Below are 19,817 nucleotides of genomic sequence, written 5' to 3' on the forward strand. Positions count from 1 at the left end.
GGCACATCCAATAAATGAGTGTTAGAAAGGACTTAGGATCTGAGCTTACATTTGGTGATTTGGGGAAGAGGTCAAGGAAGTGAGGCTTTTCTCAGGATTGGATGCTGGTCAGAAAGTGACGTATCCAGGAGGCAGAGGCTGCAATAAGCTGAGATCGTGCCACTGCACTGTAGCCTGGGTAACAGAGTGAGACTCCATCTCAAAAAAAAAAAAAAGAAAAAAGAAAAGAAAAGAAAAGAAAAAGAAAGTGGAGTATCAATAAATCTTCTGTCCTGTGCAAGGTGGGAGGAATGAAGCAAGGCTAAGTGTGATTGGTAAAGAAGTAGCATTGGCTTATGTTAGCTTGGATGCATGGATGGTTGGTTATTCTTGTGGTTTGGACAATGTTCTTGTTTCTCTCTTTGTTCAGATATGATTACTGAGAGATCTTATTTCTGTCTGGATCTCTCGAGGTCGGTCACAGCATTGCCTTGCCTAATGTTGGTATTCTGTGAAATGCTTACGAGAAAACCAAAGCATTGCTAAGACTGCCAGGCAAGTTCCTGGCTGCCGGGAGCTGCTTTCTCCTTCTCAGCTCCTCTTCTGCTCCTCTTCCTGGGAGCTGAGCATTGTTACATAAGTGGTGAGAGAGCTAAAGGAAAAACAAAAAGAAGGAGAATTTTCCAGTAAAACTTTCTGGAAAAAGTAGCACTGAGCTATGAGGCAAAGCAAGAATAGGATGCTGAGAGGTGGGCCAGAGGGAGTGTTCTAGGAGAATGGGATGGCTTGGAAGCAGGAGAAGGAGGCCTGCGGAAGAGGACCAGTGCATGTGTGTGTATGCATGTGTGAATAGGAGGAGAAAAAACAAAACAAAACAAGCCACCTGAGCTGGACTAAGAATGAGGAGGGAGGCTGGGCGCGGTGGCTCACGCCTGTATTCCCAGCACTTTGCGAGGCTGGGGTGGGCGGATCACCTGAGGTCAGGAGTTTAAGACCAGCCTGGCCAACATGGAAAAACCCTGTCTCTACTAAAAATACAAAAATTAGCCGGGCATGGTGTGTGTGCCTGTAATCCCAGCTGCTCGGGAGGCTGAGGCAGGAGAATGAATCCCTTGAACCCAGGAGGCAGAGTTTGCAGTGAGCTGAGATTGCACCACTGCACTCCAGACTGGGCGACAGAGTGAGACTGTCCCAAAAAAAAAAAAGAAGAAGAAGAAGAAAAGAAGAAGAAGAATGAGGAGGGAAGACTGGAGCCTTCTCAAACTAAAAAAAAATTAGGAGGAAGGTATGGAGGTGGCCGAGGATGGGGCCAGAGTGAAAATAGAGGAAGGGGCCAGGTACAGTGGCTCACGCCTGTAATCCCAACACTTTTGGAGGCCAAGGCAGGAGGATTGCTTGAGCCCAGGAGTTGGAAACCAGCCTGATCAACCTGGTAAGACCCATCTCTACAAAATTAAAAAATGAAAAACTAGCCGGGCACAGTGGTGCACGCACCTGTAGTCCCAGCTACTCAGGAGGCTGAGGTGGGAGGATCACTTGGGCCCAGGAGGTCAAGGCTGCAGTGAGCTGTGATGGAGCCACTGCACTCCAACCTGGGTGACAGAGCAAGACCCTGTCTCAAAAAATAAAATTAAATTAAACAACAACAACAACAAAAAAAAAAAAACAGAAGAAGGTGGTGAAGATAGTGATGGTGAAGAAGCCTGTGTTCCATCTCGTTCTGGCTGAGTTGGGGGTAGGGAATGGAAGCACAGAGAGGAGCAGAGGGCAGCTGAAGGGAGTTCAGAGTAGCCACACTTGGGGTCAGGAGACTGGAGACCACACATGCAGGCCTTCCTGCCTTCTCTTGCCACTACCCCAGGGCTTGGCCAAGACTAAGGTGAACACTTGCTGGGTGAATGGGAGAGAGTAATTCCGAGGCAGGAAAGGACCTCAGGAGCACCGGAGTGAGTTGGGAAATGATGTGGACCCTGAGCCAGGCCTACTTCCTCTTCAGTTCCCACCTCCTCATCCTCCTAGGTAGCAGCAATTCCCTCAGCCTGTTTTACCCTCTTTTTTTTTTTTTTTTTCCTTCAGACAGTCTCGCTCTGTCGCCCAGGCTGGAGTGCAATGGCACAATCTTGGCTCACTGCAACCTCCACCTCCTGGGTTCAAGCGATTCTCCTGTCTCAGCCTCCCCAGTAGCTGGGATTACAGGCAGGTGCCACCACACCCAGCTAATTTTTGTATTTTTAGTAGAGATGGGTTTTCACCACGTTGGCCAGACTGGTTTTGAACTCCTGACCTCAGGTGATCTGCCTGCCTTGGCCTCCCAAAGTGCTGGGATTACAAGCGTGAGCCACGGTGCTCGGCCTGTTTTACCCTCTTTTGATCCTCCTCCTTCTCACCCCCTGTGACAGCCTCCCTGGGGATGCTCTTGCATCTACTCTCCTGGGCCCCTCTGGGAGGTCTTTCTTGATCTGGCAAAGGTGGACATAAGTCTAACCCTCCCCTGCCCATCCCTGGATTTCTCGCCTGCAAAAGTGAGGTAAACCAGCTATGGTAGGAAAATGGCTATAAGGAGATTTAGTTTCTCTATTTCTAAATGGCTAGGTTAAAAACAAACACAAGAGGCTGGGCGAGGTGGCTCATGCCTGTAATCCCAGCTAAACCCCTATTAAAAATAAAAAATTAGCTGGGCATGGTGGCACGTGCCTATTATCCCAGCTACTCCGGAGGCTGAGGCAGGAGAATCACTTGTACCTGGGGCGTCAGCGCAAGACTCTGTCTCAAACAAACAAACAAACAAAGCACAAGAAACTACATAGATAACGTTCATCCTCTGCTTAAAGTCTTCCTGTGGCATCAAGTCCACTTTTTTTTTGAGACAGTCTCACTCTGTCACCTAGGCTGGAGTGCAGTGGCTTGATTACGGCTCACCTCCATCTGCACCTCGGGAGGTGCAGCCTCCACCTCCCGAGCTCAAACAATCCTCCCACCTCAGCTTCCCAAGCAGCTGGGACCACAGGCATGCACCAGCACACCTGGCTAATTTTTGTATTTTTTGTACAGATGGGGTTTTGCTATGTTTCCTAGGCTAGTCTCAAACTCCTGGGCTCAAGGGATCTCCCACCTTGGCCTCCCAAAGTGCTGGGATTACAGGCCTAAACCACTTTGCCTGGCTTTTTTTTTTTTTTCAATTGAGTCAGGGTCTCACTCTGCCATCCAGGCTTGAGTGCAGTGGTACGATCATGGCTCACCGAAGCCTCAACCTCCTGGGTTCAATCAATCTGCCTATCTCAGCCTTCTGAGTAGCTGGGACTAAAGGCATGAGCCACCATGACTGGCTAATTTTTTTATCTATTTTTTGTAGAGACAGGGGTCTCCCTATGTTGCCCAGACTGATCTTGAACTCCTGGGCTCAAGCAATCTGCCCACCTCAGCCACCAAAAGTGCTGGGATTACAGGCGTGAGCCACCGAGCCCAGCCATCAAGTCCATTTTGAATAAAATCCAACTTCTTATCCTGGTTCCTAGAGCCATACATGACTTATGCTTGCCCCCTGGCTGACCTCATCTCCTGCAGTTCTCCTCTCTCCAGCTATATTGAACTTTTTAAAATTCCTCCAATAATGGCTTTAAAACTTTTCTATTCACAAGTCACAGTCAGAAATACATGTTATATCACAGTCCAAAACATACACTCATGCTATATTTAGAGATATAGATATATCAATATATATCACACTATATATATCTCTGCATGCATATATGTATATGTCTCCTAAAGTTTCCTCAAACATTAACCTTTACAATGCATTCTGATATTTTCTTTTCTACTTCTTTTTCTTTTTCTTTTTTTTTTTTTTTAAGATGGAGTCTCATTCTGTCACCAGGCTGGAGTGCAGTGGCTCACTGCAACCTCCGCCTCCCGGGTTCAAGTGATTCTCCTGCCTCAGCCTCCCAAGTAGCTGGGACTATAGGAGTGCACCACCACGCCCAGCTAAATTTTTTATTTTTAGTAGAGACGGGGTTTCACCATGTTGGCTAGGATGGTCTCGATCTCCTGACCTTGTGATCTGCCCGCCTCGGCCTCCCAAAGTGCTGGGATTACAGGTGTGAGCCACTGTGCCTGGCTACTTCATTTTTTGAATGCTTGTCAGGACTCACTACATTGATTTCACTATCCACTGTGCTCACACACCAAACTTATACTCAGGGCCTTTTCACTGGCTGTTCCCTCTACCAACAATGCCCTTCCCCCTGACTGCCCGCATTGGCACCTTTTCATCCTTTACATCTCAGGTTAAGTGTCTCCTGTCCAGAGAAGTCAGCTAGCCTGAAGTAGCCACCTGATCCTTCTCTTTCATGTTCTCAGTATGGCCTTTATCACTCTGATATTTTTCTAGTTTATGGTTTTTGTTGACCTATTTTTTTGTTGATCGTCTTTCTCCCTCACTATGATAAGGTGGACTCTGTAGGTGCAGTGACCTTCTCACTTTGGTATCATACCTAGAACAGTGCCTGGGAACAGCAGGTACTCGGTATTATTAGTAGACTGTGGGAATGGGCCTAGTCAAGACTCTTGCTCTCTTTGGGCCTCGGCATTCTCCTCTATACAGTGTGAGGTCGGAGCCACTCCCCAAGACCCCTCCAGCTCTATCAACCCAGTTTTCCAAGAAGCACCAGAGGATGTGCTCCAGAAACCCAGCGTTGGGCCAGTGGGTGGGACAGAGATGGCCAAGCAATCAACTGAAGCCAGATACTGAGATGGGGCCTTGCTTCCAGGCTGCTGAAGGCCAAGGATATAAACCCAGGCACAAAACAAAGAATGGAAAGGCAGAACTGGGGCCAGCCAGACATCAGGAAGACAACCGTGTTGATGTACTTCCCGTGTGCTAAATGCTCTGCCTGCATCGTGTCATTCAATGCTTGGTCCTCTGAGGGTGGAAGAGGTGGTACCAAACATCATGATGCATTCTGGCTCCGGAGTCAGCCAGATCAGATTCAAAACCTGACTACAACACTTGCAGAGGCAGCACAGGTGGAGAATGCAGGCTCAGGCCACAATGCCTGGGTTTAAATCCTGGCCCTGCCAGTTACTACTTATATGTCTTTGTATGACTTTGAGTAAATCACTCAACCTCAGACTGTGCTTTTTTTTTTGAGACAGAGTCTCACCCTGTTGCCCAGGCTGGAGTGCAATGGTGCGATCTCGGCTGACTGCAACCTCCGTCTCCTGGGTTCAAGCTATTCTCCTGCCTTGGCCTCCCGAGTAGCTGAGATTACAGGCTCACGCCACCACACTCGGCTAATTTTTTGTATCTTTAGTAGAAATGGGGTTTCACCAAGTTGGCCAGGCTGGTCTCGAATTCCTGACCTCGTGATCCACCCACCTTGGCCTCCCAAAGTGCTGGGATTATAGGCGTGAGCCACCACGCCCGGCCCTCACTGTGCTTTCTTATGTCTTTTTTCTTTTTTTCTTTTCTTTTCTTTTCTTTTTGAGATGGAGTCTCACTCACTCTGTTGCCCAGGCTGGAGTGCAGTGGCACGATCTCAGCTCACTGCAACCTCCACCTTCCAGGTTCGAGCAATTCTTGTGTTTCAGGGTCCCAAGTAGCTGGGACTACAGGTGTGTGCTACCACGCCCGGTTAATTTTTGTATTTTTAGTAGAGATGGGGTTTTGCCATGTTGGCCAGACTAGCCTTGAACTCCTGACCTCAAGTGATCTGCCCACCTCAGCCACCCAGAGTGCTGGGATTACAGGCGTGAACCACAGCACCCAGCGTTAGCTTTCTTATGTCTTAATGGGGGTATATTCATTGCATTAACTCATGCTCTTTCCAGCACATCTCTGGAAAGCTTTCCTGGGGATTAGGAATGCTAAACAAACTTGGAATCTCCTATTGGCTTCCATCCTACCTGACCCTGTGGGCTGCTGGCCTCTGAATACAGTTTGCCGGTTGGAAGGCTCAAAGCTGAGGTCTGAGTCCAGGGTTCAGCACTTAACTAACCTGTGACCTTAGATAAGCCACAACCTCTGGGAGCCTCAGTTTTCTCACAAGCACTTAGGATTTTCTGTGCCAGGGTTCTATCCACAGCTGGAAAGTTCTGACAGCCAGCCTCAGTCTCCCCTACCTCAACACTTTCTCTTCCCTGAAAGAGAGAAAACAGAATTGCCACAGAGAGCCCTAAACTCTGTTATCATCAAGAATCTTGGCCAGGAGTGGTGGCTTGGCCAAGATTCTTAATTCCAACACTTTGGGAGGCAGAGGCGGGTGGATGGCTCGAGCCCAGGAGTTTGTGACCAGCCTGGACAACATAGGGAGACCTTGTCTCTACAAAAAATAAAATAATTAGCCGGGCATGGTGGTGAGCACCTGTGGTCCCAGTTACTCAGGAGGCTGAGGCAGGGGGATCGCTTGAGCCCAGGAGGTTGAGGGTGCAGTGAGCTGTGATGGCACCATTGTACTCCAGCCTGGGTGACAGAGTGAGACCCTGTCTTGAAAAAAAATCTGCTGGGCTTGGTGGCTCATGCTTGTAATCTCAGCACTTTGGGAGGCTGAGGTGAGTGGATCACCTGAGGGTAGGAGTTGAAAACCAGCCTGGCCAACATGGTGAAACCCCGTCTCTACTCTCTACTAAAAATACAAAAATTAGCCAGACGTGGTGGCAGGTGCCTGTAATCCCAGCTACTTGGGAGGCTGAGACAGGAGAATCACTTGAACTGGGGAGGTGGAGGTTGCAGAGAGCCAAGATTGCGCCATTGCACCCCAGCCTGGGAGACAAGAGTGAAACTCCATCTCCAAAAAAATAAAAAATATTTTTTCCTCTTCCAGCTTTCTCCAGGTGGAATAATTAAAATCCTTTTTTTTTTTCTTTCTTTCTTTTTTTTTTTTTGAGACGGAGTTTCACTCTTGTTGCCCAGGCTGAAGTGCAGCGGTACAATCTCGGCTCAGGTTCAAGTGATTCTCCTCCCTCAGCCTCCCAAGTAGCTGGAATTACAGGTGTTCGCCACCATGCCCAGCTAATTTTTGTATTTTTAGTAGAGATGGGGTTTCACCATGTTGTCCAGGCTGGTCTTGAACTCCTGACTTCAGGTGATCCTCCCGCCTCGGCCTCCCAAAGTGCTGGGATTACAGGTGTGAGCCACTGCGCCCAGGCAAAAAATCCCTCTCTTGCCCTCACAAATCTAATTCTCAGTCCTTTCCCACATCTCTCCTTTGCCACCTCCCTGTATCACCTGTGTCTTCTGACACTGACAACACCAAGTCCAACTTCAAACCCCTTTGGCTGGGGTTTGAACTGAATTGAGCAAGAGAGCTGAGAAATAACCCTGTGTCCCTTAGACCTCTCAGATCCAGGGAATCAATGGCTCCATTCCTGAGGTCTTTGGCACCTGGAAGGCTCTGTGCTAAGTGCTGTTGGGGCTCAGAAACCAATATCCCAAAAAACAGTGTTTTGTCACGCTCAACTGAAGAAGCCGCCAGGTCTCTCTGACCCTCTCCCCACCCACCGTCTCCCAAAGTGAGCTTCCTTTATCTGCCTAAGATCCAGACCCACCAAAAGGAACAACTGTTTTTTCTTCCCCTCTCTGTAAGAACAGGAACCTAAGTAACCACACCTGAACAGACCCTCTTGCAAGATAATGCACAGGATAGTTTCTGTTCCCCAGATGTATTCCTTCTCCCTAGAAATCTCCTCAACAGAATTCCTCTTCTCCTGCCTCCCATCCTCTGTTTTGCCAGGATGGGATACAAGCTCCTGAATCCCACCAGGGAGTGGGCAGTCACCGTGATTCTCCTCATGTACATGTGTTAAATACATTTGTATGCTTTTCCTCCAATTAATCTGCCTTTTGTGATTTGAGTTTTCAGCGAACCCTTAGAGGAAGAAGGGAAAAGTTTCTCGTGGCCCCTACAGTGCCCTCCTTGCATGATCTCATATAAACCTTTCTGCAACTCTACTAAATATAATACTATTGTATTAATGATGAAACCTAAACATAATTGGTGGGGTACAGGGTTCTAGGTTCATCTGACTCTGTTAGGGAAACAGCATAGGAGAACCAGGGTGACACCATTTTAAAATCAACTCCATATTAAAACTAGCCAGGCATGGACCGGTCGCGGTGGCTCACGCCTGTAATCCCAGCACCTTAGGAAGTCCAGTGGGGCAGATCACATGAGGTCAGAGGTTAGAGACCAACCTGGCCAACACGGTGAAACCTCGTCTCTACAAAAATACAAATATGAGCAGGGCGTGGTGGCAGGCACCTGTAATCCCAGCTACTTGGGAAGCTGAGGCAGGAGAATCAGTTGAACCCAGGAAGTGGAGGCTGCAGTGTGCTGAAATCATGCCACTTACTGCACTCCAGCCTGGGTGACAGAACGAGACCCTGTCTCAATAAATAAATAAATAAAAATAAAACTAGCAAGGCACATTCCTTGCCAGTCACAACCCATGGTCATAAGATGTTTATGGCTAAGGAAGCAGCTTAATAATGCCTGCAAGGACAAACTCTATCACAACAGAATGTCTAGATACGCTGAGACTGGATAACAATTATGCTTGTAAGATAGTCATGGTTATGCTTTTATGTACTTATGCCCTAAAAAAGTAACAATAATAAGGATAGTTTTCTTTAAATCAACAGAATAACACAATTTGCCATGCTATCAGCCCACCCATATGTAGACATAGCTTAGTTTTTACATAGATAAGGCCCATATATAAGAAGAGCTGGCTGGGCATGATGCCTCATGCCTGTAATCCCAGCACTTTGGGAGGCTGAGGCAGGCGGATCACTTGAGGTCAGGGATTCGAGACCAGCCTGGCCAACATGGTGAAACCCCATCTCTACTAAAAATACAAAAAGAATTAGCTGGGCGTGATGGTGCACACTTGTAATCCCAGCTACGTGGGAGGTTGAGGCAGGAGAATCACTTGAACCCGGGAGGCGGAGGTTGCAGTGAGCAGAGATCATGCCACTGCACTCAGCCTGGGTGACAAGAGTGAAACTCAGTCTCAAAAAAAAAAAAAAAAAAAAGAAGAGTCGGCACATTCCTCCTCTTATTGCTTTCTAAGGATGCCCTTACTCTGTAACTGAGTAGCTTTCAATCAACTATCTCTTCTCACTGCGCCCTATGGCTTGCCTTGAATTCCTTCCTGCACGAGATCCAAGAATCCTTTCTTGGGGTTTGGATGAGGACCCGTTTTTCTGGCAACAACTTCACAGCTCGTTTGAATCAGGGTGCTACTGCAGTGGGACAAGCCAGAACCGCAGGGATAGACTTGCCTTTTCTGAAACAAGGGGAAAATGTCACAGTGGGAAAGGAGGAGGGATTTCTAGAAGGGAAACAAGATGAAAAGGATAAGGAACCCAGAGACTCAGAATTGTGTCACAATCTGCATATATCAGTCCAGCCTGGGTGGGAATATACTCAGTACTGAGGGGACAGGAGAGACAGAGAGATGGGAGGAGGGTGGGATAAGTCTGGGAATTCTCAACAGAAGGTAAGGATGTGTGCTGGGGGGTGGGAGTCTGGGAACAGGAGACAGGGTTGAAGAAAGGTCAGGGGAAGAAGTGGCCCCACCCCCATGCCTGCGGAGAACCGAAAGATCAGGAAGGTGCTAGCGTGTGAAATGTGTTTATTTTTTCCAAAGGCTAAAAATACAGTGAAAAGGAAACACACACACAAACTAACCTAACCAGAAATGGGGAAAAGTGGTCACGGCGACGGCTGAGAAATCTGAGACAAGAATTTCAGGAACTGGGATAACTCAGTGACCTGAGCTCGGAAATTCCACCCCATGACGAGTCTCTGGAGAGCGACTGCTTCCCATCAGCGTCTGGAGCACTTTCCAGCAGCCTGAGGTGGAGCAGAGAGGGAATAAGAGAAGGAGCCAGGAGGAGGTGAATGCCCCCTATTGAGAGGGCAGACCTGTTACCTTCAGGGAAGGTGGGTATAGGATGGATAAGGCGAGGACCCTCTATTTAGCCCACTCTCAGAGTAATCATAACTGTCTTAACAACCTCTTACTAAGATGCCAACAGTCTTGTGAAGTAGTATCATCCCCACTTTATAGATGAAGACACAGAGACACAGAGAGGTTAAACAATTTGACTGAGGTCTCACAGCCAGCAAATGGCAGTGCTAGGAACCTTTCTGAGATCACAGAGCCCTTTCCTGGGGATCTAATGAAAGCTATGTACCCAGTACCTAGGAAAAAGCCTTATAATGAATTTATACATATTACATTCAATTTCAGGGAGTTCAAAGAGCCCTGAAGCCCATTCCACGGCAAAGAAATTGGACAGTATGCCAGTGTTGAATGATCTCCCACCCTTATCCCTGACCCCACAGTCCAGTAAACAAAGCGACAGTGCATATAGGGGAGGGGTGGCTTACAGCAATTGCACACCATCCCTTCCTTGAAACCTCTACTGGCCTGGGACCTGGGTTTTGCCCTAGCTGATCTGAGAGGCCTCCCCAGCCTGCTCTGGCATGAGGTGGTGATCGGGGTGGCAGCTGGGAGGGGGTAGGCTGGGAAAGCCATAACAGACTTTGTGGGGAAGCCGGAATTATGCTATACTGGAGGACAACACTTCTTCCTCACCCCCTCAGGGTATCCTTTTTCGGGTTGAGATTTGGAACTGCCCAGCCTGGAAAATGAAGGCCTCCTCCCTTAATTAAATGCCCAGGGGTTGCTATGGTAACCAGAGCTTCCAAATCCTGGCCAGACAATAGGGAGAGGAGCTGTCTCCAGCCTAGACGAGTGAAGCTTCAGGGGCCTTGCTGGGGACAGGAATGGGGCCAGAGGGTGAGAAAAAAGGGGGTGCCAAATGAGAAGATCAGCCTCCTCTCTCCCTGGAGCTGTGGGAATGGGCCTGTCAGAGCCAAGGGGTCTGAGACAGGGGCAACCCTCCTGGAAAGGGGAGGCGATGGGGGCGGGTAGCTGGAGCCAGGCACTGCCCAGAACCAAACACCTCCTTTGTTCCCAGAGGAGAAAGCCAGCCAAGTTGGTAAACAAAGGGAAGAGGCCAGAGGGCAGACAGCTAAGTGATAAGGCCTGGGACCGCAGAGAGCTGAGTAATGGAGCCCCAGAGACGAGGGGAATCTCCATGGTCCCACTAACAAGCAGGACACGCGGCAGGCCTGCATACCTTGCCACACTGACACACACAGTCACAGTGATCACACAGGACACACAGGTGTTCCTACAGAAACACTGATCTTTGAGGACACTTGGATCCCCTGCTCCTTTGTCCCCGGCCTCTCCTCCGGAGCCCATTAGTCTCCCTCCTTTGGAATGTTTATGGAAGGCAGAGGGCAGTCCTCACTTTCATGAGCGTGGGCTCCCACAGGTGGGAGAGCTGCACGCAGGTTCAGGGACGTCAGGTCATGGATCCTGTTACTTCACTTTGAGAGGAGAGACCCTCGTTTGGAAAACATCACAACACAGATCATTCACTTACGTGCCAGGTACTGTGCTGAATGCAATACAGTCTCTAGCTTAATGCCCCCTACAACTCTGTGAGGTAAAAAATGACTGTCCTCTTTTACTAGAGAGAGGAATCTGAGGGGAACTTAGGTAAATCAGGCACGCACTCACAGCCGGTAAGTGGAAGAGCTGGGATTAAACCCAGGTTTGTCTGAATCTTCCCATTTTTCCTACATTTGCTTCAAAAACTTCTTGGAAACTTTTCTGAGCGAGCCCACTCTGTTCTCTCCCTTCCCTCTCCCACTCGGTGTTACCTAAATACTTCTCTAGAAGCAGTTCCCAATTTGCAAGCTGGTTATTTAAAGGGTTTATATATAACTTGGTTGTTTGGAACCCAAACACATTTTTCCCAGAGACAAAATGTTAAATGGGCCGGGCGCGGTGGCTCACGCCTGTAATCCCAGCACTTTGGGAGGTCAAGGTGGACGGATCACGAGGTCAGGAGTTCGAGACCAGCCTGGCCAACATGGTGAAACCCCGTCTGTACTAAAAACACAAAAAAGTAGTCTGGAGTGGTGGCACGCACCTGTAATATCAGTTACTCGGGAGACTGAGGCAAGAGAATCGCTTTAACTTAGGAGGCGGAGGTTGCAGTGAGCAGAGATGGCACCATTGCATTACAGCCTGGGCGAGAGAGCAAGACTCCATCTAAAAAAAGTTAAATGGGTCCAGAAAGGCCACTTGACCCAGAATTAGCTGACAATGCTACATCTAGTTCAGGATTAGCCTGGGGACCCAACCATCAGTAATAATAGTGTTTTCTGGGAAATATATCTGGTTACAAAGTGAGAAAGAAACAGCATTCTTTTCTCACTTTCTCCGCCCTCATCCTGCCACATCTGTATTGCATTTACTGGAGTGCCTGGGGGAATGAGAATGGATGGCAAATCTGGTGCTGACCAAAGGGAGTTTCTTGAGAAGGGTAGAGAAGAAGGGTAGAGGCCGGGCGTGGTGGTTCACGCCTGTAATCCCAGTACTTTGGGAGGCCAAGGCAGGCGGATCACCTGAGGTCAGGAGTTTGAGACCAGCCTGACCAACATGGTTAAACCCCGTCTCTACTAAAAATACAAAAATTATCCAGGCTTGGTGGCGGGCACCTGTAGTCGCAGCTACTCGAGAGGCTGAGATAGGAGAATTGCTTGAACCCGACAGGCGGAGGTTGCAGTGAGCCGAGATCATGCCACTGCACTCCAGCCTGGGTGACAGAGCGAGATTCCATCTCAAAAAGAAAAAGAAAAAGAAAAAGAAAATAAAAAAGAAAGAGAAGAAAGGTTGAGAAGGGAGTTTCTTGAGAAGGGCAGAGAAGGGAGTACCTTGAGAAGGGAAGGAAAGGGTTGAGAATCCAAGCCTTCCTAAGCTGGAAGAACTGTTGAGATGGCACAGTGAAAGCTGAGGGCAGAGGGAGAGGCCAGCAGGACAGCTGTCTGTGCCTGTTTCAAGGACACAGGTCCAGAGGGCCAGTCTAGGAATGAGGGGTGACAGGTGGTCAGAGTTTTCTTCAATAAGAAGAACTTTCTAACTATTAAATCTCTCCAAAAGCAAATGGGCCTCTTGGTGAAGTAGTGAGTTCTCTGCTGCTGGGAATATTCAAGGAGAAGGTAAATAGCCTATTGAACATATGGTGAAAGGAAAGAAGCATTGGACAAATAGACTTCTAAGATTTCTCTAAATTTATAAACCCATTTAGCAAAATGTTATATAGTATCTACATGTGCCCAGCACTATGCCAGAAACAAAGTTTATAGCAGGGGTTCTTGCCCTCATAGAGCTTATAGTCTAATGGGAGAGTCAAGCATTGAATAAACACAACTGATATATTTTTATTTTTATGTACTTATTTTTTAGTGACAGGGGTCTTGGCTATGTTCCCCAGTCTAGTTTCAAACTTCTGGCCTCAAGCAATCCTCCTGTCTTGGCCTCCCAAAGTGCTGGGATTATAGGCATGAGCCACCACACCTAGCCCACAACTGAATATATAATTTCAAATTGTGATACAGATTACAATGGAAAATAATAGGGTACTACTATGTGAGACTAAGAGAAGGGATCTAATCCAGAGGGATTGTTTGAGGAACTGACCGTGAGGCCGAGATCTGGAGGATGAGTGGGGTCAGCCTGGAAAAGGGCAGGTATATGTGTATGCATATAGGGAAGGGTTCAGGGTAGAAGCAACGTCAAGGAAGAAGGCCCTAGGGCAGAAAAGAACAGTGTGACTGGAAAATTGTGAGTGAGGGGAGAGCAGCGAGAGATGACATTGACAAGAGAGGCAGGGCTAGATCTCATAGGTGACGGTAGGAGCTTCCATGCTGCCTAATACCCTGAGCTTTTTTCTCTCTCTTTTTAATATTTAGAAATGTAGGGGGAGGGTCTCACTGTGTTGCCCAGGCTGGAATGCAGTGGCTATTCATGAGTGCAATCATAGCACATTGCAGCCTTAAACTCCTGGCTTCAAGTGATCCTCCTGCCTCAGCCCCTGAGTAGCTGGAACTACAGGCATGCGTCACCATGCCCAACTTGACCTTATCTCTTTTTTTTTTTTTTTTTTTTTTTTGAGATGGAGTTTCACTCTTGTTGCCCAGGCTGGAGTGCAATGGCGCAATCTTGGCTCACTGCAACCTCCGCCTCCCGGGTTCAAGAGATTCTTCTGCCTCAGCCTCCTTCCTGAGTAGCTGGGATTATAGGCATGCACCACCATGCCCAGCTAATTTTTTGTATTTAGTAGAGATGGGGTTTCACCATGTTGGCCAGGCTGGTCTCCAACTCCTGACCTCAGGTAATCCACCTGCCTCGGCCTCCCAAAGTGCTGGGATTACAGGCATGAGTCACCGCCCCCAGCCTGACCTTATCTCTTAACTAGCTGTCCCTCTCCAGTCCTAGACCTCTAGGCCTTGGTCTCCACCAGCTCCCTGCAGTTGCAAGGCCTCACCATTTCCCTGTGGCTCCTCCCACTTCCCCAGGACCTCTTCATAGTAGTAGGTGCTCCTTGTACTTTATGAGTGTCCCCAGGAGGTGGAGTGGTAGAATTCTCATGTCTTGTGTGGGACATTCAGGTTCAATTCATTGCCTTTGCAAAGGCCCTCCCTCTCAAGAAGTAGCATAGTTTGGTGGTGAAAGCACAAACTCTGGAGCCAGACTGCCTGGGTTCAGACAGTGGCTTTGTCACTTACTTGCTGTTCGACCTTGCCAAGTTACTGAACTGCTTCATGCCTCATATGTAGAATGAGGATGACCATGCTTATCTCCTAGGAGTGTTATAAGGTAATATTTGCTAAGTGTTTAGGACAGAGCCTGGCATATAAGTACTAGAACAGTCCCCCCTTATCTTCAGGGGATACATTCAAAGACCCCAGTGGATGCCTGAAACTGCAGATAGTACCGAATTATATATGGACCATGTATTTTTTTTCTATACATACATACCTATGATAAAGTTTAATCTTTTTTTTTTTTTTGAGATGGAGTCTCACTCTGTTGCCCAGGCTGGAGTGCAGTGGCGTGATCTCGGCTCACTGCAGCCTCTACCTCCCGGGTTCAAGTGATTCTCCTGCCTCAGCCTCCCGAGTAGCTGGGACTACAGGCGTGTGCCACCACGCCTGGCTAATTTTTTGTATTTTTAGTGGAGATGGGGTTTCAACATGTTGGCCAGGATGGTCTCGATCTGACCTCATGATCCGCCCACCTCGGCCTCCCAAACTGCTGGGATTACAGGCATGAGCCACCATGTCTGGCTTAGAGTTTAGTTTTTAAATTAGGCACAGTAAGAGATTACCAGCAATAACTAATAATAAACTAGAACAATTATAATGATATGCCAGTATCACTACTCTTGTGCTTTGGAGCCATTATAAAGTAAAATAAGGGTTTTTGTTTTGTTTTGTTTTTGAGACAGTCTTGCTCTTTCGCCGAGGCTGGAGTGCACTGGCGCGATCTCAGCTCACGGCAACCTCCACCTCCCGGGTTCAAGTGATTCTTGTGCCTCAGTCCCCCGAGTAGCTGGGATTACAGGTGTGTGCCACCATGCCTGGCCAAAATAAAGGTTACTTGAACACAAGCACTGTGATACCAAGGCAGTGGATCTGATAACTGAGATGGCTACTAAGTGATAATGGGTGGGTAGCATCTAAAGTGTGGCTACACTGGACAAAGAGATGATTCACATTCCAGGCAGCATAGAGTGGGATGGTGTGAGATTTCATCACGCTACTCAGAATGGTGGCAATTTAAAACTTATGAATTGTTTATTTCTGGAATTTTCCATTTAATGTTTTCTTTTTTTCTTTTTTCTTTTTTGAGACAGAGTTTCACTCTTGTTGCCCATGCTGGCTGGAGTGCAATGGTGTGATCTCGCTCACCGAAACCTCCGCCTCCCAGGTTCAAGCAATTCTCCTGCCTCAGCCTCCCGAGTAGCTGGGATTACAGGCATGCGCCACCATGCCCGGCTAATTTTGTATTTTTAGTAGAGACGGGGTTTCTCTATGTTGGTCAGGCTGGTCTCAAACTCCCAACCTCAGGTGATCCGCCCACCTCAGCCTCCCAAAGTGCTGCGATTACAGGCATGCGCCATGGCGCCCAGCCTTATTTAATGTTTTCAAACCATGATTGACCACAGAAGGCGAGACTACATACATAGACATATACAGTAGCCCCTTTTTATCCATGTAACTGAAACCATGGAAAACAAGACCACGGATAAGAAGGGGCTACTGTATATGAGTGTTTTTTTTTTTTTCTTTTTTTTGGAGGCAGGGTCTCACTATTTGCCCAGGCTGGTCTCAAACTCCTGGGCTCAAGTGATCGTCCTGCCTCGGCCTCCCAAAGTGCTGGGATTACAGGCATGAGCCACTGGGCCCGACTCAGAGTGTTTCTGAAACAAAATCACCAGCAATAAATCACTACAACATCTCCTGTTTTCCTAGCTCATCCCATGCTCTCCCAGTCCCATCCCTAGGTCCACAGCAGGGAGCAAGAGGCCCAGCTTGCTGTTATCTCTACTCACCACTTTTTTGTCCAAGGCTTCCTCCGGTCACAACTCCGGTACTTAAAAAAACAGCCAGGTGTGGTGTCATGCACCCATAGTCCCAGCTACTCAAGAGGCTGAGTGGAGAGGATCGTTTGAGCCCAGGAGTTTGAGTTTAGCCTGGGCAACATAAAAAAGGGAATAGGTAGACCTGAGCTCATCCCCACCCAGCCCTCCTCACCCCCAGAATAAAAGATGTTCCTAATGGTAGGTTGCAGTCAGATCAAGGTATATTGGTGACTCCCCTTCCTTCTCTCTCCCTCCTCCTCTCCCCTCACCTCTTCCTTCCAGCTGTTTTCAGGTTCTGAGAGTATTCTGAATACACTAAATATATCACTGATCCACCTGCACCTGGAGCCCCGCTTTCTGGGCCTTGGTCCTGATCCCCATGGCTGAATTCAGTGCTCATCCACCTACTCCCATACCACCAAATGCTCATTCCCAATGTGGAACTTAACACTTCTGCATCATAACCACCGGCTTTCTTGTTGGTGTCCTTGAGGGGAGCAGCTGTCTGCCTATTCTCTGTTGCATCCCAGGGCCTACATATGGCACTTACCACTCTAGCCTCATTTCTCACCAGTCCTGCTCCTGGCATCTCTGAGCCAGCCACGAGGGCCTGCTGTCAGCTTCTCAGGTCTGCTGAGAGGGAATCTCAGGGCCTTTCCAGGTGCTTCCCTCCTGCCCAAAGTGCTCCTCCTCAGGTCCTCGCCTGGCCAGCTCCTACTTCTTCTTCAGGTCTCTCAGCTTACCTGTCACTCCAGGAAGCCTTCCATGAAGCCCCTGTGTCTAGATAAGTGGCCCTCCTTTGGGGTCTTCCAGCACAGGCATTGGCACTGTATTTTAAGCATCTCTTTGTGCCTCCCACTTGCCTGCAGAACTCAGGCAGGGCAGGGACCATGCTTATCTAATTTGCTGTTGCATCCTTAGTGCCTAGCCCAGAGCCCAGCTCAAAATAGACCAGGGTTTATGCCCTGGGGCCCGTGGATGAGCTGCCAGGGGTTCCTGATGCTCCCAAAATCACATGAAAATGTTTGTAGGCTTATAGTGCATTCTTTTTGGGAGATAATCTGTATTTTTTTATATCATACTCTCAAAGGATATGTGACACCCCTGCCCCCTAAAAAAGGTTAAGAATCAGTGTGTGTAAGCTTTCTGTAAATACTCGTTTTTGATTGGATGCATCCATCGTGACAATAATAGGTGATACTCAATAAACATTATTGAATGAATGAATGAGCCTCCTCTTCACAATTACAGTGTTTTAAATGTTTTCAATGGATTGAGAAAAACCTCAGAAGAAACCTTTGCCAGAAAAAGTTAAAGTGCCCGTTGCTTCAGCCCCTGACTCTGTGGTCCTAAATACGCGGCTCCTCAGTGGGGCCCACAGCTTAAGACCAACGCTTCACAGGCTCACAGCCCCTGTCAGAACCCATCTCCTGCCCTGAAATCCACCTACTGCGCCTTTGCAGCCTGTCAGCTGAAAATAATCCCAGTGAAAGCAGGGGCGAGGTGGAAGCAGAGGAAGCAGGCCCACACACGCCTTTAATGCGGGGGATTCTGCCCCCTGCTGGCTGCCCGGCTCCCCTTCAGCGCCCGGCCGAGAGCCCGGTGGCTGCGACTGAGGTCAGAGCCGGGAGAGGAGAGGGAGGGAGCGAGGCGGAGGCGCCTCGGGAGGGGGCCATCGCCCACCGGGCAGTCTTCCCACCGACGATTAGGCTTTGTCTTCAAAACAAGTTAGAGGTGGTGGCTTCTGCTTTGGAGCCCCCTCGCTTCTTTTCCCGGCTCTCCCGTCTTCGACTTCCAAATTAGGAGCTTAGGGAGGGCAGGGGGCGTGGTGGGGGTGGAGGTCCTTCTGGAGCTCAAGGGAGGTCCAGTCATCCAGACTTGGCTTTCTCATCGATCCCTTTTCCCAGAGCCTGGTTACTGCCGGCACCTTTGGATCCTCGGCCAATTCTCTGCTTCGCCTACACTTGGCGTGCGGTGTACCAGCCTCCCCGCGTCACCATGGAAACAGGAGCCTCTGCATCCATCCCAGAGCTGATCTGTGAAGCTATGAGAAGAATCTGGAGGTGTGTGTGTGTGTGTTTGGGCGGGGCGGGTAGAGAGATAAAGGAAGGGCAAAAGGGGAAAGGTTCAGAGAAAATATGGAGAGAGAAAGAAATCTGGGCGAAGGGGCGGGATTGCTTTATAAGGGTTATTGAATAACTGGTACCCTGTGGAGACGGTCAGCTTCCCTGACAGACCATAAATGCTGTCCTCTCATAGTCAGTCTGAACTGGCCGAACCTCCTTACGGACTGTCAGTTAGTAGCCATGTAACCTTGAGTGAGTGACTTAGCCCCTCTAAGCATCACTTTGCTTATCTGTAAAATAAAAATAATAGCAGCACTCCACAGGGTTATTGTAAAAACCAAGGAGGGGGGATTCATATACAGCACTTAATACAGTGCTTAGCACATAGTGAGTGCTCAAAAATGTAGTTACGGTTGTACATGCTTATGTATCTTTAGTAATGATTTCTGTTATTTCTGTATTTTTCCTCTGCTGAATCAATCGCCAGCTCTTCAATAATAATACCTTAAAAATAATTTAGAATTTTTTTTCTCAGCTTACTGCAACCTCTGCCTCCTGAGTTCAAGTGATTCTCCTGCCTCAGCCTCCCGAGTAGCTGGGACTACAGGCACATGCCACCACACTCGACTAATTTTTTATTTTTAGTACAGACAGGGTTTCACCATGTTGGCCAGGCTGGTCTCAAACTCCTGACCTCAGGTAATCCACTCACCTCAGCCTCCCAAAGTGCTGGGATTATAGGTGTGAGCCACCGCACCCGGCATACTTTAGAATTTTTAAAATCATGTCATCCTTGCGCAGGGACCATGCTAATCTCTGTATCGTTCCAATTTTAGAATATGTGCTGCCCAAGTGAGCACTACTTTACAATTTTCTTTCTCCTTTCCTTCCTTCCTTCCTTTCTTCCTTCCTTCCTTCCTTCCTCTCTCTTTCTCTTTCTCCTTCTCTTTCTCTCTCTGTCTCCTTTTTTTTTTGAGACAGTCTCGCTCTGTCACCCAGGCTGGAGTGCTGTGGTACAATCTCAGCTCACTGCAACCACCTCTGCCTCCCAGGTTTAAGCGATTCTCCTGCCTCAGCCTGCCAAGTAACTGGGATTACCGGTGTGTGCCACCACCCCCAGCTAATTTTCACATTTTTAGTAGAGACAGGGTTTCACCATGCTGGCCAGGCTGGTCTTGAACTCCTGGCCCCAAGTGATCCACCCGCCTTGGCCTCCCAAAGTGCTGGGATTACAGGCATTAGCCACTGCACCTGGCCTCTTT

The 19,817-nt window shown here is 48.4% G+C and overlaps 1 pseudogene, besides 1 other annotated feature; it reads right to left on the reverse strand.

The window, feature by feature from the left end:
• Positions 14,443–14,552: an enhancer, noted in NCBI's record as "active region_6294". NCBI's record gives its function as "activates an Ori minimal core promoter by ATAC-STARR-seq in GM12878 lymphoblastoid cells {active_cell/tissue: GM12878}" and the evidence as "EXISTENCE:reporter gene assay evidence [ECO:0000049][PMID:35858748]".
• RNU6-600P (RNA, U6 small nuclear 600, pseudogene) lies at positions 19,317–19,415 on the reverse strand (annotated as a pseudogene).

The sequence above is a fragment of the Homo sapiens genome, chromosome 12 (genome assembly GCF_000001405.40).
Source record: "Homo sapiens chromosome 12, GRCh38.p14 Primary Assembly".
NCBI classification, from domain to species: Eukaryota; Metazoa; Chordata; class Mammalia; order Primates; family Hominidae; genus Homo; species Homo sapiens.